Consider the following 18,235-nt stretch of genomic DNA (forward strand, 5'->3'; position numbering starts at 1 on the left):
AGATTTTAAATTAATAGTGTTGAGTACACGAATCTCTGGAGTATAATAACTTAGAAAAATGTTGGAAAATGATAAAGTCGAAGGGGAAGATTAATTGAAGTTAAGTGTCCCCTTTTCAAATGGGAAGCATTTGACACTATGAGGAGTGCTCTAGAGATTAACAAATGTTTCTCTGTCAAGGATAATTTTCTGAGCAGTTGAGGTTGTTTGTGTGATAAGGGAAGGCGGCTAGATAGCGTAACTATAGGTGTTTGAGAAAATTTCCGAAGTTACTTTCAGATTGAAAGGGTGAAAGTAGGTGCAACAATTGGCCGTTGGGAGGGGAAAGGGTGCAGGGCTCGCCAGCCCGGCGCCACTACAGGGTTAACCGCGGCGGCGCCCGGTGCACACTGGGAGTTGTAGGCCGCGGGCATTGTGGGAGTTGTCGTAAAAGCCTGCTTTCTTGCCGTGATGGCCGCCGCCGAGGCAGGGAGTTGAGGGTTTCTGCCTTTCGGAGGGTTTGGGGGGCTGTCGGTCCCGTTAGAAGGCCACCAACAGCCCCCCAGGTTGCCAAGGGCCTGTTAGTTGTGTTCCTGGAAGGTGGGCAAGCAGCCTGATGGGTTAACATTGGGATTTGCCGTCGTTATAGCGGTCAAGGGGCCTGTAGCGGCTGCAGGGTCGGTGAGGGTTCCCAGCCGGCCGGACCTTGGTCGTCTGGCATTCTGCCTTTGAAATATCTGGGTGGCCGGCGCCTAGGCATATGGGGTTGTGCTTTCTGTGTTGTGGTTTGTAGCTTGCATCCTCCACTGTTCTTAGCGCATTTGGCTCTGTCCATATGGCTGTTGGTACTCATGGCCCTATTTGGGGTTGGACTGGGCTCTTTTTCTTGGGTCTGGTGGGATTTAAGCAAGAACTGGAATTTTGTAAGATGTACAGCAGTGTCCTGGGTGTTGTCTGTCTGGTGTGGGGTGTGAGCAGTTGCAGGAGTTATGAACGTGTCCATGATCGTGTGGTTGGCTTTCCCTTGCATGTGGTGAACTTTCCCCTCGTTTGCTAATGCTGAAAGGCAGTGTCAGGCAGTTCCTACTTGTGAAATGCCTTCTTATTAACTTGGATGTGTTCCTAAATCTTGGGAGCTTTGCAATTGCTTGTAGAAAGATATGTGTGCAAAACTGAATTTAAAACGAGCACCAGGGTTGCAGGTACCTTTAGTTCTAGGGAGCCAGCTCCCCCAGGCTTCCCTGGTGCTGTGAAGTTGTTTGAGTTTATTTATGGAAATTAGGTTTGCTTTGAGCTGTGTTACCTTACTCTTGGCTCAGAGTTTCTCTGCATGTTGGGACCCTGATCTTTGATATTGGGTACTGTTTCAACATTTGAGGCTAAATGAAGCACCGTGTACTGATGTGTAATGTCGTGTATCACAATCTCAGGATAACACTAGATAGCCAAGAATGGCAGTACCTGTTTTGTCTGTCTACACGAATTGGACCTCATTGTTTCTGCCACAATGTACTGCTCCATAAATTCCGCCTTATTTCCATGGTATTGTCTGTAAGTTTTGAAATCTAACTGGTCATGAAAAGCCATTTTTCAGGCAGTATTTAAAAGCTTTTTCCCACAAGTAGAACTGGTATCTAAAACATTTTTTCATTCAAGTTTGGTAAGGTGGGAGATTTGAAATAAGGTACAACAGTGGTTTTGGAAATCAGCTATCAAGTTTTAGTTTTAGGGGCCACCACGTGACAGAAATGATTTATAGAGAGAGTAAAAATTGTATTCCATTTCTCTTGGTATTTTAGTGCATATAAAAACTAAATAAACCACTTTCATATATCATTAAAAAGCCCTTTGTGTCTTGTGATGAATGAGGTTTTTATAACTCCCCTATTGTCTGGGTTTGCTTAGAATATAGTAATGGGGCCGGGCATGGTGGCTCACGCCTGTAATCCCAACACTTAGGGAGGCCAAGGCCAGGGGATCACTTGAGGTCAGGAGTTTGAGACCAGCCTGGCCAACATGGTGAAACCCCATCTCTACTAAAAATACAAAAAACTTAGCTGGGTGTGGTGGCATACGCCTATAATCTCAGCTACTCAGAAGGCTGAGGTGGGAGAATCACTTGAACCCAGGAGGTGGAGATATCAGTGAACGGAGATTGTGCCACTGCACTCCAGCCTGGGCAACAGAGTGAGACCCTGTCTCAAAAAAAAAAAAAAAATTAGCTGGGTGTTGTGGCAGGTGCCTGTAGTCCGGCTACTCTGGAGGCTGAGGCAGGAGAATCGGCTTGAACCTGGGAGGTGGAGGCGGCAGTGAGCCAAGATCACTTCACTGTACTCCACCCCTCCAACCTGGGCAACAGAGTGAGACTGCATCTCAAAAAATATATGTATAGTAATGGTAGAGAAAGCAGCAAAGCTGGCTGGGTATGTACATGTGATTCTGTTGAAACTGATTTCAGGTATGGATTGATAGGCTAATATTGTTGGGTTGCTAGTCAGATCTCAGGAAAGTATTTCCTTCCCTCTAACCTGACCTAAGTGTGTCTTAGAATGTTAACTAACTTGACAATTGAATAAAAAAGATTGAGAAATTTATTTTTAAATGATCCATATTGTCCATATTTGTTACTGTTTGGTGATGTGGTCAAATACTATTGTTCTGGTGAATTGGTTTTGTATCTTAGGAAGACCGGATGGCTAGACTTTGTAGATGTGTAGAATCATTTAGAATGAACCACAGCCACAGTGCCCATTTGCCTTGAAAGAAGATACATGAATTTTTAATTGACAAGTTACCTCTGGCTTGAGTTAAACAGAACAAATAGTTCATTAGAGGGTGCTTTGAATGGACTTTGAGAGTGGAAAGGTACATACTTTGTTAAGTTTAGAGGTAAACTCATCTCTGCATTTGCATAGAGCCCTTCCAGACATTTGCCAGTAGTCACATCTCTCTACAAAGTGGTGAGGTTTTTGTGTCCAAGAATTTTGGTATTTAATCATTTATTTGGTACTCTGTTTCCCATCCTTATCACTCCAATTCTGATGCTGGTGTGAAATGTTTTGTGTAATATACAAAGGCAACAGTAGATGTTTCAGAAAAAAATGTGATAAAATCTACTTATGTTTTCTGGAACATGATTCATAAGGTTGTGTTTACATATTGGATAGATACGTCAAAAGGTGTCTTTTTGAAACCCAGGGTTTGCACAGTTTCAACGAAACTGTTTTCAATGAGGCATAACACCAAAGGGTAACTTTCTTGACTAAGGTGTTATAAAATGAAAGCCTTTAATTCTTGTGTTCATTCAAAAAAGAAATGGAAACTTGTTTCCAAATAATAGAATTTGGAACATGACCAAAAAAATTTTCACTTTAGACTGTAGCCAAAATTTGGAGACTCCAAGAAGGGAACAGAGTGTATCTGTTTGGGGCCTTTACTCAGGTTCTTTCTAATCTCTTGTTTTCCCGCATATAACTATTCACATTGCTGAAAGTAAGCAGTTCTTTATTTTTTCGGAGACAGGGTCTTACTCTGTCACCCAGGCTGGAGTGCAGTGGTGTGATCATAGCTTACTATAACCTCAAACTCCCAGGCTCAAGCTATCCTCCTGCCTCAGCCTCCTGAGTTGCTAGAACTACAGGCATGCTCCACCACACCTTGCTAATTTTTTTTTTTTTTTTTTTGAGACAGTTTTTCACTATGTTGTCCAGGCTGGTGTCAAACTTCTTGCCCCAAGTGATCCTCCTGCCTCCCAAAGGGCTGAGATTACAGGCATGAGCCACCACACATGACCCTAAGCAGTTCTTATTAATGCATTTCTGCATTTGTGAACATTTGTAAGGGTAAAACTGCATATAAAACAACAAAATCACCCATTCCGAATTTGATCTTTATTTTTCATTAATATTATTTGAAAAAGAAGAATTGTTGATTGTAGTTTGTACACTTAAGTTTGGTACGTTTGGTTTTAGATTCCAGTACTCTTAAACATGGAATGTATATTCACCCCTCACCCTGACAGGATAGTAAGGTTTCTGAGAGAAAGAGGAGTGGTATTTTTAAAACTTCTATGCTTATTAATGATGAATTTTATTTTTTGATTCTTCCTACATGTATTTCCAGGACAGAATATATTATCTCTGCCCTGCTGGGCCCTTTGTTTTTGAAGTCAGAGTATTGGATGATTTTTATGGGTAGGACAGAGCAAACCAACACTTACTTCAAAATGCTGAATGTAGATTAAAAGATATTCATTTCCATTAGAAATAAAGCAAGATCGTATGCATATGTCCTACCAGTTAAAGGATTCTGTATCTTAAAGCCTCAAAAAAAATCATAAATAATCATTTTGCTTTGTCCTTTGCCTTCCTTATTTTTCTTTTTGTTCAGTTTTCTCTCTCAGTGTGCCTTTGTGGGGTTCCAGAATTTAAATGACATTTTTGTTTATTTTGGATTATTTTTCAAATTATTTGCTTCAACTTAAAACCATTTTCACCTAAATTATTCATAACATGATTTTAATAAGTCATTCTTGTCATATTTCATTTTTATAATTAAAATATTATAAATATTGAATTTCTTTTTTGGGAAAAAATGAGCTAGCTACTTAAACCAAATTCACAAAGTTCCAGAATTTGGCCTGCAAAAAAATCCAGGGATGTATAGCTGTAGCTTCTTTTTCTGTTATTAACAGTCTTTAGACAATGAAGAGAGATGCATGATTTGGCCGTTTCAGAAGAAATCTGAAAAGCACTTCTTGCCCAACACTAAATATAATGTGAAAATTTTATTAGGACAGTATAAGGAGAAATCCTTGAATTCACATAAAAGAATCGAATAAAGCAGTTCTATATGTGTTTACCAATCTAAAAAAATTTTTTTTATTTAGTAAACCACTTTCTTGTTTTCTTAACTCAGAAATAAATGTATGTGTCTGGATTTGAAAATTTTTTTTGTTTTTTTGTTTTGAGACAGAGTCTCACTCTGTTGCCCAGGCTGGAGTGCAGTGGTGTGATTGATCTTGGCTCACTGCAACCTCCACCTCCTGGGTTCAAGTGATTCTCCTGCCTCAGCCTCCCAAGTAGCTGGGATTACAGGCACCCACCACCATGCCTAGCTAATTTTTGTATTTTTAGTAGATACGGGGTTTCGCTATGTTGGCCAGGCTGGTCTCGAACTTCAGACCTCAGGCGTTCCGCCTGCCTCAGCCTGCCAATGTGCTGGGATCACAGGCGTGAGCACCCGACCTGAAATTGTTTTTAAGGAGAATTCATTTTTGGTAGGGAGAGCCATGTTTTCAATAAAGTTGTAGTAAAAGAGTAGCCAACTTGTGTCTTTTTTTTTTTTAATTATTAACCAAAGGTATTGATTATATGTAGTTTATAAGGGGAGAAAAGGGCCCATTGTAGTAGAGGGTTAAAATGAAGACAGTGATTTTTAGCTTTTGTGTACCATTTGCTATAATTACTTTCTGATAGAATTTGAATTTGTAATGTAATGGAGTTAATTTTAAAATATTTGAGAAATGGCTTTATATATATAATATCATATTAATTTTTTAGACACATAGGATTCTGTAATTGTTTCATCCTAACAGATTTTTAAAAGGAAGCATATAAAGTAAATGAAACACACTCTTATTATATTCTTCTACTTGAGGTAGAAGAATTCTAAATTAAAACTTGGAAAAAAGAATTTTTATCCGTGCAAAAGATTTGAGGTATGTACTATAGTTTTATAAATCAATAGAAAAAAATGGAAGGACACAGCCATGGCTGGGCAATTCACAAAAGGAAAAATAAAAATGGCAATAAATAATGTGGCAGATTGTGTTTACCAAAGGTGGCCACAACTGTGTCTCCCGGTTTTACATATTCTTCTCTATTGTGACAATGTCACTCTGTCATCAGAAGGTGGAGTCTTTTCACTTCCTTGAATCTGAGTGGATCCTTCGACTGTTTTGACCAAGACTATGTGGTAGAAGCGAAGTTCCAGTTCCAGGTATTGCTCTTATTTCACCTGACAAGTTTGGTTTCCTGCCTTTTGGAAGCTGACCACTATGTTAGAAATGTAATCACCCTGAAATCACTATGTCGTGAGAAACCCAAAGGCAAGTGAAGAAGCCCTGGAGGATGCGACATCAAGTGTAGAGGCAAAAGAGCACCAAGGAAGAGGCCAAAGAACACTAAGTGAAGAAGCCATTTTGAAAATGGATCCTCCAGCCCCAGCTGCCCTAGTTGTTACGTAAATCAGATAAATTGCCCAGTGGTACCCTTCCCAATTTCTGCCCCATAAAATCATGAGCCAAATAAAATGGTTTGTTTTAAGCTTCTAAGGTTGTGGGTGGTTTGTTTTGCCATGACAGATAACAGGAACAAATACTGGGGGAAAATTTTTGTTTGATAATGGGTACAATTTGCTTGTCTAAATCTGATAAGGAACTAGTATCTACAATAAGTAAGGAGTTTTGTTTGTTTTTCAAATGAAAACAAAACAAAACAAACACAAGAGCCCTAATAGAAAAATGCCAAGATTATGAACAGGTGTTATTTCAAAGAGGAAATACAATAGGCTAACAACATGAAAAGGTACGCTCAAACTCAGTAATTAGAGGAATTAAGATTAGAGCAACAATAAAGTATCTCTTTATCCCCAGTAGACTAAGAAAAATGAGAAAGATGGATGATGCCAAGTATTGGTGGGGATGGGGGTTAGGAACCCTCATACACTGCTGGTGAGAATATAGAGTGGTGGAGCCGTTCTGGAGAGCAGCCTGGCCGAATTTAATTAAATGAATATAGATCTTAAATTGTTCCTGGGTATATGGCCTCAAGTCTTACATAGGTCTCTAAAGGAGGAAATGTGAGGATGTTCATCACATTGTTTTTCATGGCAGAGTCTCAGATCCAACCTGAGGTTCTTCATCACTGGAGGAATACATAGGTAAAATATGGTGGATGCACACATGTAGTACAGTAGTCCCCACTTATTCACAGTCTCGATTTTTGCTGTTTCAGTTACCTGTGGCCAACTGCAGTTTGAAAATATTAAATGGAAAATTCTGGAAATAAACATTTCAAAAGCTTTATATTTTGCAGCATTCTGAGTCGTGTGATGAAATCTTACACTTGTCCATTAGTTACTTAGTAGCTATCTCAGTTGGATTGAAAAAACAGGATCTATAGGGTTCAGTACTATCCTTGTTTCAGACACGCACTGAGGGTCTTGGAATGTATCCCATAAGGGGAGAGTAATGTGCTATGCATCAGATAGAAGCAAAAGACTACATATATCTACCATGCATAATGTTTGAGAAGTACAGTGTTCCATGAAAATAAAAAGTGGAATCTAGAAATGTTCAAAAAGGTATGTAAAACACGTTGGAATGAATACCTAAAGGGCAAGGTAAATGTTGCCCATGAAAGAAGAAAGGGAGAGGATAATGGAGAATGAGTTAAAATAAACTGAATAAAATGAGAAGCCAATGATGATAACGTGCTGTGAACCAAGACATATTCATCATACTTTCTGTGCTGGAGGTCAAACAATACTCCCTCACTCCAAGAAGAGAAGATTATAATTCTCAAAGTAAACTGAAAGAACCATTTTTTCAGTCTGCCTCACTTGGAACAAATTTTTAAATGAGATCAGTTACAGAAGTATGGTCAAACAGGCAATCTCATATTTTGTTGGATATGTAAATTGGTATGGCCATTATAAAGTACAGTTATTCATCAAGATCCTTAAAAATGCTTATATCCTAGCAATAAACATTTGTAAATTGAAGTTAAAAAAATCCATTGGTTGATTGATTGATTGATTGAGACAGTCTCGCTCTGTCGCCCCAGGCTGCAGTGCGGTGGTGCAATCTCGGCTCCCTGCAACCTCTGCCTCCTAGGTTCAAGTGATTCCTGTGCTTCGGCCTCCCCAGTAGCTGGGATTACAGGTGCACACCACCACATCCAGTTATTTTTTACTTTTAGTAGAGACAGGGTTTCACCACGTTGGCCAGGCTGGTCTTGAACTCCTGACCTCAAGTGACCTGCCTGGTTAGCCTCCCGAAGTGCTGGGATTACAGGCATGAGCTACTGTGCTCAGCCACAAAACCATTTAAATAGCACCAGAAAACATGAAATACCTAGGGATACATATAACAAATATGTGTAAGACCTGTACACTGAAACTACAAAACATTGCTGAGAAATTTAAAGAATACATAAGTTGTGAGAAAGATACCATGTTCGTGGATTGGAAGACTCAATGTTGTTAAAATTTCAACTCTTCAAATGGATCTATAGACTCAAAGCAATCCCAATCAAAATACCAGGTAGCTTTTTTAAAAAATAAAAAACCCAAAGTGGCTGATCCTAAAATATATATGGAAATGCAAGGGCTCTAGGGTAGTCAAGACAAGAAAGTTGGAGGACTTACATTTCCTGGTTTTAACAATTTAAAACCACAGTAATCAAGACAGTGGAATTTGGTTAAAATAATCAAATTTATAAATTTATGCTATGTAAAACAATAGGTGTGGAAAAAGGAACTTTTTCCTCTGGTCTCACACCACACAATCATCAACACAGAGAAGATGTCTGTTACCAAATGTGTGGAGATTTTTCCCCTACACACCAGACAAGCAAGCAGTTCTGCAGCAGGCACCAGCTGGGTGTCTTCCAATTCAATTCCGACACTATCTACCTGGAGATAGCCTCAGATTGAGGGCTCAGTCCCACAAGACTGCCACCACCCTTCAGATGCCAGTTGCAAGTCTGGGCCTCCAGAACATCTGACCAACCATGTTCAAGATAGGGTTCCCATGACCCCCTGTTTGGGTTCAATTAATTTGCTAGCGTGGCTCACAGAACATGTATGCTGGTTTAAAGGATATTACAAAAAAAAAATACACATGAAGAGATACATGGGGCGAGGTATGGAGGAAGGGGTGAAGAGCTTCCATGCCCTCCCCAGGCACACACCCTCCAGGAAACTTCACATGTTCAGATATCTGGAAGCTCCCCACACTCTGTCCTCTTGGGTCTTCTATGGAGACTTCGTTGGTTAGGCATGATGAGGACTGTGTGGAAATATGAATGGATAAAAAGAGTATGATCTAATACTAATAAGATCATACTATTCATTACTATTACTGAATGAGGAAACCCAGTAAGGCTGGACAGTTCAGATTCTTGGGCTCTCTGGCAGCATTTTTTTTTCTTCCAGGGTATGGGGCAGTACCCTTCTGAAATGAGGGTCTTATGACCTACAATCAGAAAAGTAGGGGGAGATTAGAGTCCTGCCTTGGGCTGGTGGAAGGAGGGCAGGGGAAGGAAGGTCAGAGAGAGATTCTGTTTCCTGAAGAATCTGTTTTCTTCTGAGGTCTAAAGCATCCCAACATTATAACAAAAGACTATAACAAGGGATATGGGAGTTATGAGCCAGGAATGGTGCTGGAACAGTTGGATATCCATATGCAAAAAGATGAGTCTTGTTCCATGCCTCATACTGTATTCAAAGATGGAGTTGAAATTACTCATAAACCTAAACATAAGAACTAAAACCATAAAACTTTAGAAGAAAATAGGAGAAAAATCTTTGAGGTCTTGGTTGACGCAAAAATTTCTTTTTTTCTTATTATTATTATACTTTAAGTTTTAGGGTACATGTGCACAACTTGCAGCTTTGTTACATATGTATACCTGTGCCATGTTGGTGTGCTGCACCCATTAACTTGTCATTTAGCATTAGGTATATCTCCTAATGCTATCCCTTCCCCCTCCCCCACCTCACAACAGTCCCCGGTGTGTGATGTTCCTCTTCCTGTGTCCATGTGTTCTTATTGTTCTATTCCCACCTATGAGTGAGAACATGTGGTGTTTGGTTTTTTGTCCTTGCAATAGTTTGCTGAGAATGATGGTTTCCAGCTTCATCCATGTCCTTACAAAGGACATGAACTCATCATTTTTTATGGCTGCATAGTATTCCATGGTGTATATGTGCCACATTTTCTTAATCCAGTCTATCATTGTTGGACATTTGGCTTGGTTCCAAGTCTTTGCTATTGTGAATAGTGCCGCAATAAACATACATGTGCATGTGTCTTTATAGCAGCATGATTTATAATCCTATGTACCCAGTAATGGGATGGTTGGGTCAAATGGTATTTCTAGTTCTAGATCCCTGAGGAATCGCCACACTGACTTCCACAATGGTTGAACTACTTTACGGTCCCACCAACAGTGTAAAAGTGTTCCTATTTCTCCACATCCTCTTCAGCACCTGTTGTTTCCTGACTTTTTAATGATTGCCATTCTAACTGGTGTGAGATGGTATCTCATTGTGGTTTTGATTTGCATTTCTCTGATGGCCAGTGATGGTGAGCATTTTTTCATGTGTTTTTTGGCTGCATAAATGTCTTCTTTTGAGAAGTGTCTGTTCATATCCTTCGGCCACTTTTTGATGGGGTTGTTTGCTTTTTTCTTGTAAATTTGTTTGAGTTCTTTGTAGGTTCTGGATATTAGCCCTTTGTCAGATGAGTAGGTTGCAAAAATTTTCTCCCATTCTGTAGGTTGCCTGTTCACTCTGATGGTGGTTTCTTTTGCTGTGCAGAAGCTCTTTAGTTTAATTAGATCTCATTTGTCAATTTTGGCTTTTGATGCCATTGCTTTTGGTGTTTTAGACATGAAGTCCTTGCCCATGCCTATGTCCTGAATGGTATTGCCTAGGTTTTCTTCTAGGGTTTTTATGGTTTTAGGTCTAACATGTAAGTCTTTAATCCATCTTGAATTAATTTTTGTATAAGATGTAAGGAAGGGATCCAGTTTCAGCTTTCTACATATGGCTAGCCAGTTTTCCCAGCACCATTTATTAAATAGGGAATCCTTTCCCCATTTCTTGATTTTGTCAGGTTTGTCAAAGATCAGATGGTTGTAGATGTGTGGTGTTATTTCTGAGGGCTCTGTTCTGTTCCATTGGTTTATATCTCTGTTTTGGTACCAGTACCATGCTGTTTTGGTTACTGTAGCCTTGTAATATAGTTTGAAGTCAGGTAGCATGATACCTCCAGCTTTGTTCTTTTGGCTTAGGATTGACTTGGCAATGCGGGCTCTTTTTTGGTTCCATATGAATTTTATGAATTTTAAAGTAGTTTTTTCCAATTCTGTGAAGAAAGTCATTGGTATTTTGATGGGGATGGCATTGAATCTATAAATTACCTTGGGCAGTATGGCCATTTTCACGATATTGATTCTTCCTACCCATGAGCATGGAATGTCCTTCCATTTGTTTGTATCCTCTTTTATTTCACTGAGCAGTGGTTTGTAGTTCTCCTTGAAGAGGTCCTTCACATCCCTTGTAAGTTGGATTCCTAGGTATTTTATTCTCTTTGAAGCAATTGTGATTGGGAGTTCACTCATGGTTTGGCTCTCTGTTTGTCTGTTATTGGTGTATAAGAATGCTTGTGATTTTTGCACATTGATTTTGTATCCTGAGACTTTGCTGAAGTTGCTTATCAGCTTAAGGAGATTTTGGGCTGAGACGATGGGGTTTTCTAGATACACAATCATGTCATCTGCAAACAGGGACAATTTGACTTCCTCTTTTCCTAATTGAATGCCCTTTATTTCCTTCTCCTGCCTGATTGCCCTCGCCAGAACTTCCAACACTATGTTGAATAGGAGTGGTGAGAGAGGGCATCCCTGTCTTGTGCCAGTTTTCAAAGGGAATGCTTCCAGTTTTTGCCCATTCAGTATGATATTGGCTGTGGGTTTCTCATAGATAGCTCTTATTATTTTGAGATACGTCCCATCAATACCTAATTTATTGAGAGTTTTTAGCATGAAGGGCTGTTGAATTTTGTCAAATGCCTTTTCTGCATCTATTGAGATAATCATGTGGTTTTGTCTTTGGTTCTGTTTATATGCTGGATTACGTTTATTGATTTTCGTATGTTGAACCAGCCTTGCATCCCAGGGATGAAGCCCACTTGATCATGATGGATAAGCTTTTTGATGTGCTGCTGGATTTGGCTTGCCAGTATTTTATTGAGGATTTTTGCATCAATGTTCATCAGGGATATTGGTCTAAAATTCTCTTTTTTGGTTGTGTCTCCGTCAGCCTTTGGTATCAGGATGATGCTGGCCTCATAAAATGAGTTAGGGAGGATTTCCTCTTTTACTATTGATTGGAATAGTTTCAGAAGGAATGGTACCAGCTCCTCCTTGTACCTCTGGTAGAATTTGGCGGTGAATCCATCTGGTCCTGGACTTTTTTTGGTTGGTAAGCTATTAATTATTGCCTCAATTTCAGAGCCTGTTATTCGTCTATTCAGAGATTCAACTTCTTCCTGGTTTAGTCTTGGGAGAGTGTATGTGTCAAGGAATTTATCCATTTCTTCTAGATTTTCTAGTTTATTTGCGTAGAGGTGTTTATAGTATTCTCTGATGGTAGTTTGTATTTCTGTGGGATCATTTCCCCCCTTTGTAATTTTTTATTGCATCTATTTGATTCTTCTCTCCTTTCTTCTTTATTAGTCTTGCTAGCGGTCTATCAATTTTGTTGATCTTTTCAAAAAACCAGCCCCTGGATTCATTGATTTTTTGAAGGGTTTTTTGTGTCTCTATTTCCTTCAGTTCTGCTCTGATCTTAGTTATTTCTTGCCTTCTGCTAGCTTTTGAATGTGTTTGCTCTTGCTTCTCTAGGTCTTTTAATTGTGATGTTAGGGTGTCAATTTTAGATCTTTCCTGCTTTCTCTTGTGGGCATTTAGTGCTATAAATTTCCCTCTACACACTGCTTTGAATGTGTCCCAGAGATTCTGGTATGTTGTGTCTTTATTCTCGTTGGTTTCAAAGAACATCTTTATTTCTGCCTTCATTTCGTTATGTACCCAGTAGTCATTCAGGAGCAGGGTGTTCAGTTTTCATGTAGTTCAGCCGTTTTGAGTGACTTTCTTAATCCCGAGTTCTAGTTTGATTGCACTGTGGTCTGAGAGACAGTTTGTTATAATTTCTGTTCTTTTACATTTGCTGAGGAGTGCTTTACTTCCAACTATGTGGTCAATTTTGGAATAGGTGTGGTGTGGTACTGAAAAGAATGTATATTCTGTTGATTTGGGATGGAGAGTTCTGTAGATGTCTATTAGGTCTGCTTGGTGCAGAGCTGAGTTCAATTCCTGGGTATCCTTGTTGACTTTCTGTCTCATTGATCTGTCTAATGTTGACAGTGGGGTGTTAAAGTCTCCCATTATTATTGTGTGGGAGTCTAAGTCTCTTTGTAGGTCACTAAGGACTTGCTTTATGAATCTGGATGCTCCTGTATTGGGTGCATATATATTTAGGATACTTAGTTCTTCTTGTTGAATTGATCCCTTTACCATTATGTAATGGCCTTCTTTGTCTCTTTTGATCTTTGTTGATTTAAAGTCTGTTTTGTCCGAGATTAAGATTGCAACCCCTGCCTTTTTTTGTTTTCCATTTACTTGGTAGATCTTCCTCCATCCCTTTATTTTGAGCCTATGTGTGTCTCTGCACGTGAAATGGGTTTCCTGAATACAGCACACTGCTGGGTCTTGACTCTTTATCCGGTTTGCCAGTCTGTGCCTTTTAATTGGAGCATTTAGCGCATTTACATTTAAGGTTAGTATTGTTATGTGTGAATTTGATCCTGTCACTATGATGTTAGCTGGTTATTTTGCTGATTAGTTGATGCAGTTTCTTCCTAGCCTTGATGGTCTTTACAATTTGGCATGTTTTTGCAGTGGCTGGTACCAGTTGTTCCTTTCCATGTTTAGTGCTTCCTTCAGGAGCTCTTTTAGGGCAGGCCTGGTGGTGACAAAATCTCTCAGCATTTGCTTGTCTGTAAAGTATTTTATTTCTCCTTCACTTATGAAGCTTAGTTTGGCTGGATATGAAATTCTGGGTTGAAAATTCTTTCCTTTAAGAATGTTGAATATTGACCCCCAGTCTCTTCTGGCTTATAGAGTTTCTGCTGAGAGATCAGCTGTTAGTCTGATGTGCTTCCCTTTGTGGGTAACCCGACCTTTCTCTCTGGCTACCCTTAACATTTTTTCCTTCATTTCAACTTCAGTGAATCTGACAATTATGTGTCTTGGAGTTGCTCTTCTTGAGGAGTATCTTTGTGGTGTTCTCTGTATTTCCTGAATGTTGGCCTGCCTTGCCAGATTGGGGAAGTTCTCCTGGATAATATCCTGCAGAGTGTTTTCCAACTTGGCTCCATTCTCCCCGTCACTTTCAGGTACACCAATTAGACGTAGATTTGGTCTTTTCACATAGTCCCATATTTCTTGGAGGCTTTGTTCGTTTCTTTTTATTCTTTTTTCTCTAAACTTCTCTTCACGCTTCATTTCATTCATTTCATCTTCCACCGCTGATACCCTTTCTTCCAGTTGATCACATCAGTTACTGAGGCTTGTGCGTTCGTCATGTAGTTCTCGTGACATGGTTTTCAGCTCAGGTCCTTTTAGGACTTCTCTGCATTGGTTATTCTAGTTATGCATTCGTCTAGTTTTTTTTCAAAGTTTTTAACTTCTTTGCCATTGGTTCGAACTTCCTCCTTTAGGTCGGAGTAGTTCGATCTTCTGAAGCCTTCTTCCCTCAACTTGTGAAAGTCATTCTCCATCCATCTTTGTTCCGTTTGCTGGTGAGGAGCTGCGTTTCTTTGGAGGAGGAGAGGCACTCTGATTTTTAGAGTTTCCAGTTTTTCTGCTCTGTTTTTTCCCCATCTTTGTGGTTTTATCTACCTGTGGTCTTTGATGATGGTGACATACAGATGGGTTTTTGGTGTAGATGTCCTTTCTGTTTGTTAGTTTTCCTTCTAACAGTCAGGACCCTCAGCTGCAGGTCTGTTGGAGTTTACTGGAGGTCCACCCCAGACCCTGTTTTCCTGGGTGTCAGCAGCGGTGGCTGCAGAACAGCGGATATGGGTGAACCACAAATGCTGCTGCCTGATCGTTCCTCTGGAAGTTTTGTCTCAGACGAGTACCCGGCCGTGTGAGGTGTCAGTCCGCCCCTACTGGGGGGTGCCTCCCAGTTAGGCTACTCAGTGGTTAGGGACCCACTTGAGGAGGCAGTCTGCCCGTTCTTAGATCTCAAGCTGCGTGCTGGGAGAACCACTACTCTCTTCAAAGCTGTCAGACAGGGACATTTAAGTCTGCAGAGGTTATTGCTGTCTTTTGTTTGTCTGTGCCCTGCCCCTAGAGGTGGAGCCTAAAGAGTCAGGCAGGCCTCCTTGAGCTGTGGTGGGCTCCACCCAGTTCGAGCTTCCCAGCTGCTTTGTTTACCTGCTCAAGCCTGGGCAATGGTGGGCGCCCCTTCCCCAGCCTCGCTGCTGCCTTGCAGTTTGATCTCAGACTGCTGTGCTAGCAATGAGCAAGGCTCCATGGGCGTAGGACCCTCTGAGCCATGTGCGGGATATAATCTCCTGGTGTGCCGTTTGTTAAGCCCATCGGAAGAGCGCAGTATTAGGGTGGGAGTGACCCGATTTTCCAGTTGCCATCTGTCACCCCTTTCTTTGACTAGGAAAGGGAATTCCCTGACCCCTTGTGCTTCCCAGGTGAGGCGATGCCTTGCCCTGCTTCAGCTCACGCACAGTGCATTGCACCTACTGTCCTGCACCCACTGTCTGGCACTCCCCAGTGAGATGAAACCGGTACCTCAGTTGGAAATGCAGAAATCACCCATCTTCTGCATCGCTCACGCTGGGAGCTGTAGACTGGAGCTGATCCTATTCGGCCATCTTGGCTCCACCCCCCAGTTGATGCAAAAATTTCTTAGATAATACATAAAAAGTAGGAAGCATAAAAGAAAAAAATTGATAAATTAGACTTCATCAAAATTAAAAACTTTTCCTTATCAAAATACAGTTAAGAAAATGAAAAGCAAGCTACACAAAAGGAAGAAAATATTTGCAAGACATCTGATGAAGGATTCATCTCCAGGATATATAAAGAACTCTTACAACTCAGTAATAAAACAGACAAACTAATTAAAAATATGAGCAAAACCTTTCTTATATAAGTGAGCCAAAGATGGCCTGGATGTTTTGGCTTCTAGGTTGTTTATTTCAGCACTGCAGGCTGAGACTTATTAGTTCGAAAGTCTACCAGTGCCAAAGTCAATTTTTTTACAAATCTAATTTTTTTTTAAGCCCAAACTAGATTTTCAGCACTTTAGAACCTGCCTGCTTGGTATAACCCATGAAATCACTCCACGCCTGCTAGCCAAATGTAGGATAAGCTCCAGGACCCAAATCACTGCTGCTTCTGTCCTTCAATGTTCTCTGATCCAGAGACTCCCTTGCCGTGCTAGTGGAGTGTTATCACCTGGGCATGTAAACTCCCTCTCTGATTTTCCTCTTCTCCCAAGGAGTTCCCATACCCTCCCTCTCCTGCTGGAGGGTAGGCCCCTCATTGTTAGCATCCAGAAAGTCTCATGCTGTGAAGGACTTCCTCTCTCATGCATGGTTGTCCAAGAACCATTCAATAAAGCTTGCCGTGTGTTATTACTGCTTCATATCTTTTTCTTTGATCAGCCCCCAAGTCCCTCAGACCCTCCACTTGATTTGAACAGTTACTTCACAAACTAAGATAAACAAATGTCCAATAAGACATTGAAATGTTTAAACATGAAAAGATGCTCATTATCTTTACAGCAAAGATCATGCTGTAAGTTATTAATTGAAGATTAATATGATTGAATTAACTAACACTAATTAAAGTCACATTGAGACACCACTACATATCAATGAGATTAAAAAGACAATACTAAGTGGTGTTGAAGATGCACAGCAACTAGAGCAAACTGGTACAGCCACTTTGGAAAACAGTTTGGCAGTTTCTTCTAGAATTAAATATTTACCATATAACCTATTAGTTTGCTCCTCACTATTGTTTACCCAAAGGAAATTAAGCTCATGTTCTACACAGACTTGTATATGAATGTTCATAGCTGCTTTATCTATAACAGGCAAAAATTGGGAACAACTTAAACATTCATCAGCTGAAGAGTGGCTAACAAAATGAAATACTACTCAGCAATAAAAAGGAACAGACTGGCCGGGTTCTCTGGCTTATGCCTGTAATCCCAACACTTTGGGAGGCTGAGGCAGGTGGATTACCTGAGGTCAGGGGTTCAAGACCAGCCTGACCAACATGGCGAAACCCCGTCTCTACTAAAAATACAAAAATGAGCTGGGTGTGGTGGTGCATTCCTGTAATCCTGGCTACCCCAGAGGCTGAGGGAGGAGAATTGCTTGAACCTGGTTGGCAGAGGTTGCAGTGAGCTAAGATCTTGCCACTGCACTCCAGCCTGGGCAACAGAGCAAAACTCCATCTCAATAATAATAATAAAAAGGAACAGACTGCCAATACACACCACAGCTTAATCTCAATGGTAGTATGCTAAGTGAGAGAAGCCAGACACAAAAAACCACATGCTGCATGATTCCACTTATATGCATTTCTAGAAAGGCAACACTAGAATGACAGCAGAATCAGTGGTTATGATGGGTTGGGGGTCAAAAAGGGCATTGGCCATAAGGAGGCATGAAGAAACTCTTGGAGATTATGGAAATGTTGTATATCTTGATTGTGGTGACTACACATAAAATTTGTAGATTGTTTGTAAATACAATAAAGTGGACTAAGAAAGTCCTTGATAAGTGGACTAAGAAAAAAGTGTTCGTGCAATTTAACCCAGTAAGTGCATGTCTAATAACTTAATAAAAAGAATTAGAGATGTGAGCCGGGCATAGTGGTTCACTCCTGTAATCCCAACACTTAGGGAGGCAGAGGTGGGAGGATAGCTTGAGGTCAGGAGTTCAAGATCTGCCTAGACAACATAGTGAGACCCCATTCTCCACAAAAAAGGAGGAAAAAGGAATCAGAGATGTGTATAAAACTTACATACAAGGATGTTCATTTCAGCATTATTTATAATAGCTAAATACTTAACCCAAGTGCCCAGAAAAAGGACATTATTTAAATCTATGATATATTCATGCACAAAGTATATCAAGCCATTAAAAGTTATATTGAAATTATGATATGGAAAAATGTTTACTACTTTAAATAGAAAGGTAGAATATAATATACACTCTAGATTTTGTTTTTAAACTGGCAGTTGAAAGAACAAAAATAATTCACTATCTTATTGATAAATGAGGGTTAAGTGGGATTTTTGTGACATATAAATAAGATCTGAATATCCGGTACCTCCATTTATACTTTCCTTCTTGTGGGAAATG

General features: G+C 40.2%; 1 protein-coding gene across 4 annotated transcripts in view, besides 1 other annotated feature; it reads left to right on the forward strand.

The window, feature by feature from the left end:
• The window catches only part of HSD17B12 (hydroxysteroid 17-beta dehydrogenase 12), a 299,895-nt gene that overhangs the window by 87,079 nt on the left and 194,581 nt on the right, over nt 1–18,235 (forward strand). The gene's annotated exons all lie outside the window — the stretch shown is intronic.
• Nucleotides 334–523: an enhancer, noted in NCBI's record as "active region_4641". NCBI's record gives its function as "activates an Ori minimal core promoter by ATAC-STARR-seq in GM12878 lymphoblastoid cells {active_cell/tissue: GM12878}" and the evidence as "EXISTENCE:reporter gene assay evidence [ECO:0000049][PMID:35858748]".

The sequence above is a fragment of the Homo sapiens genome, chromosome 11 (assembly GCF_000001405.40).
Source record: "Homo sapiens chromosome 11, GRCh38.p14 Primary Assembly".
Classification (NCBI taxonomy): Eukaryota; Metazoa; Chordata; class Mammalia; order Primates; family Hominidae; genus Homo; species Homo sapiens.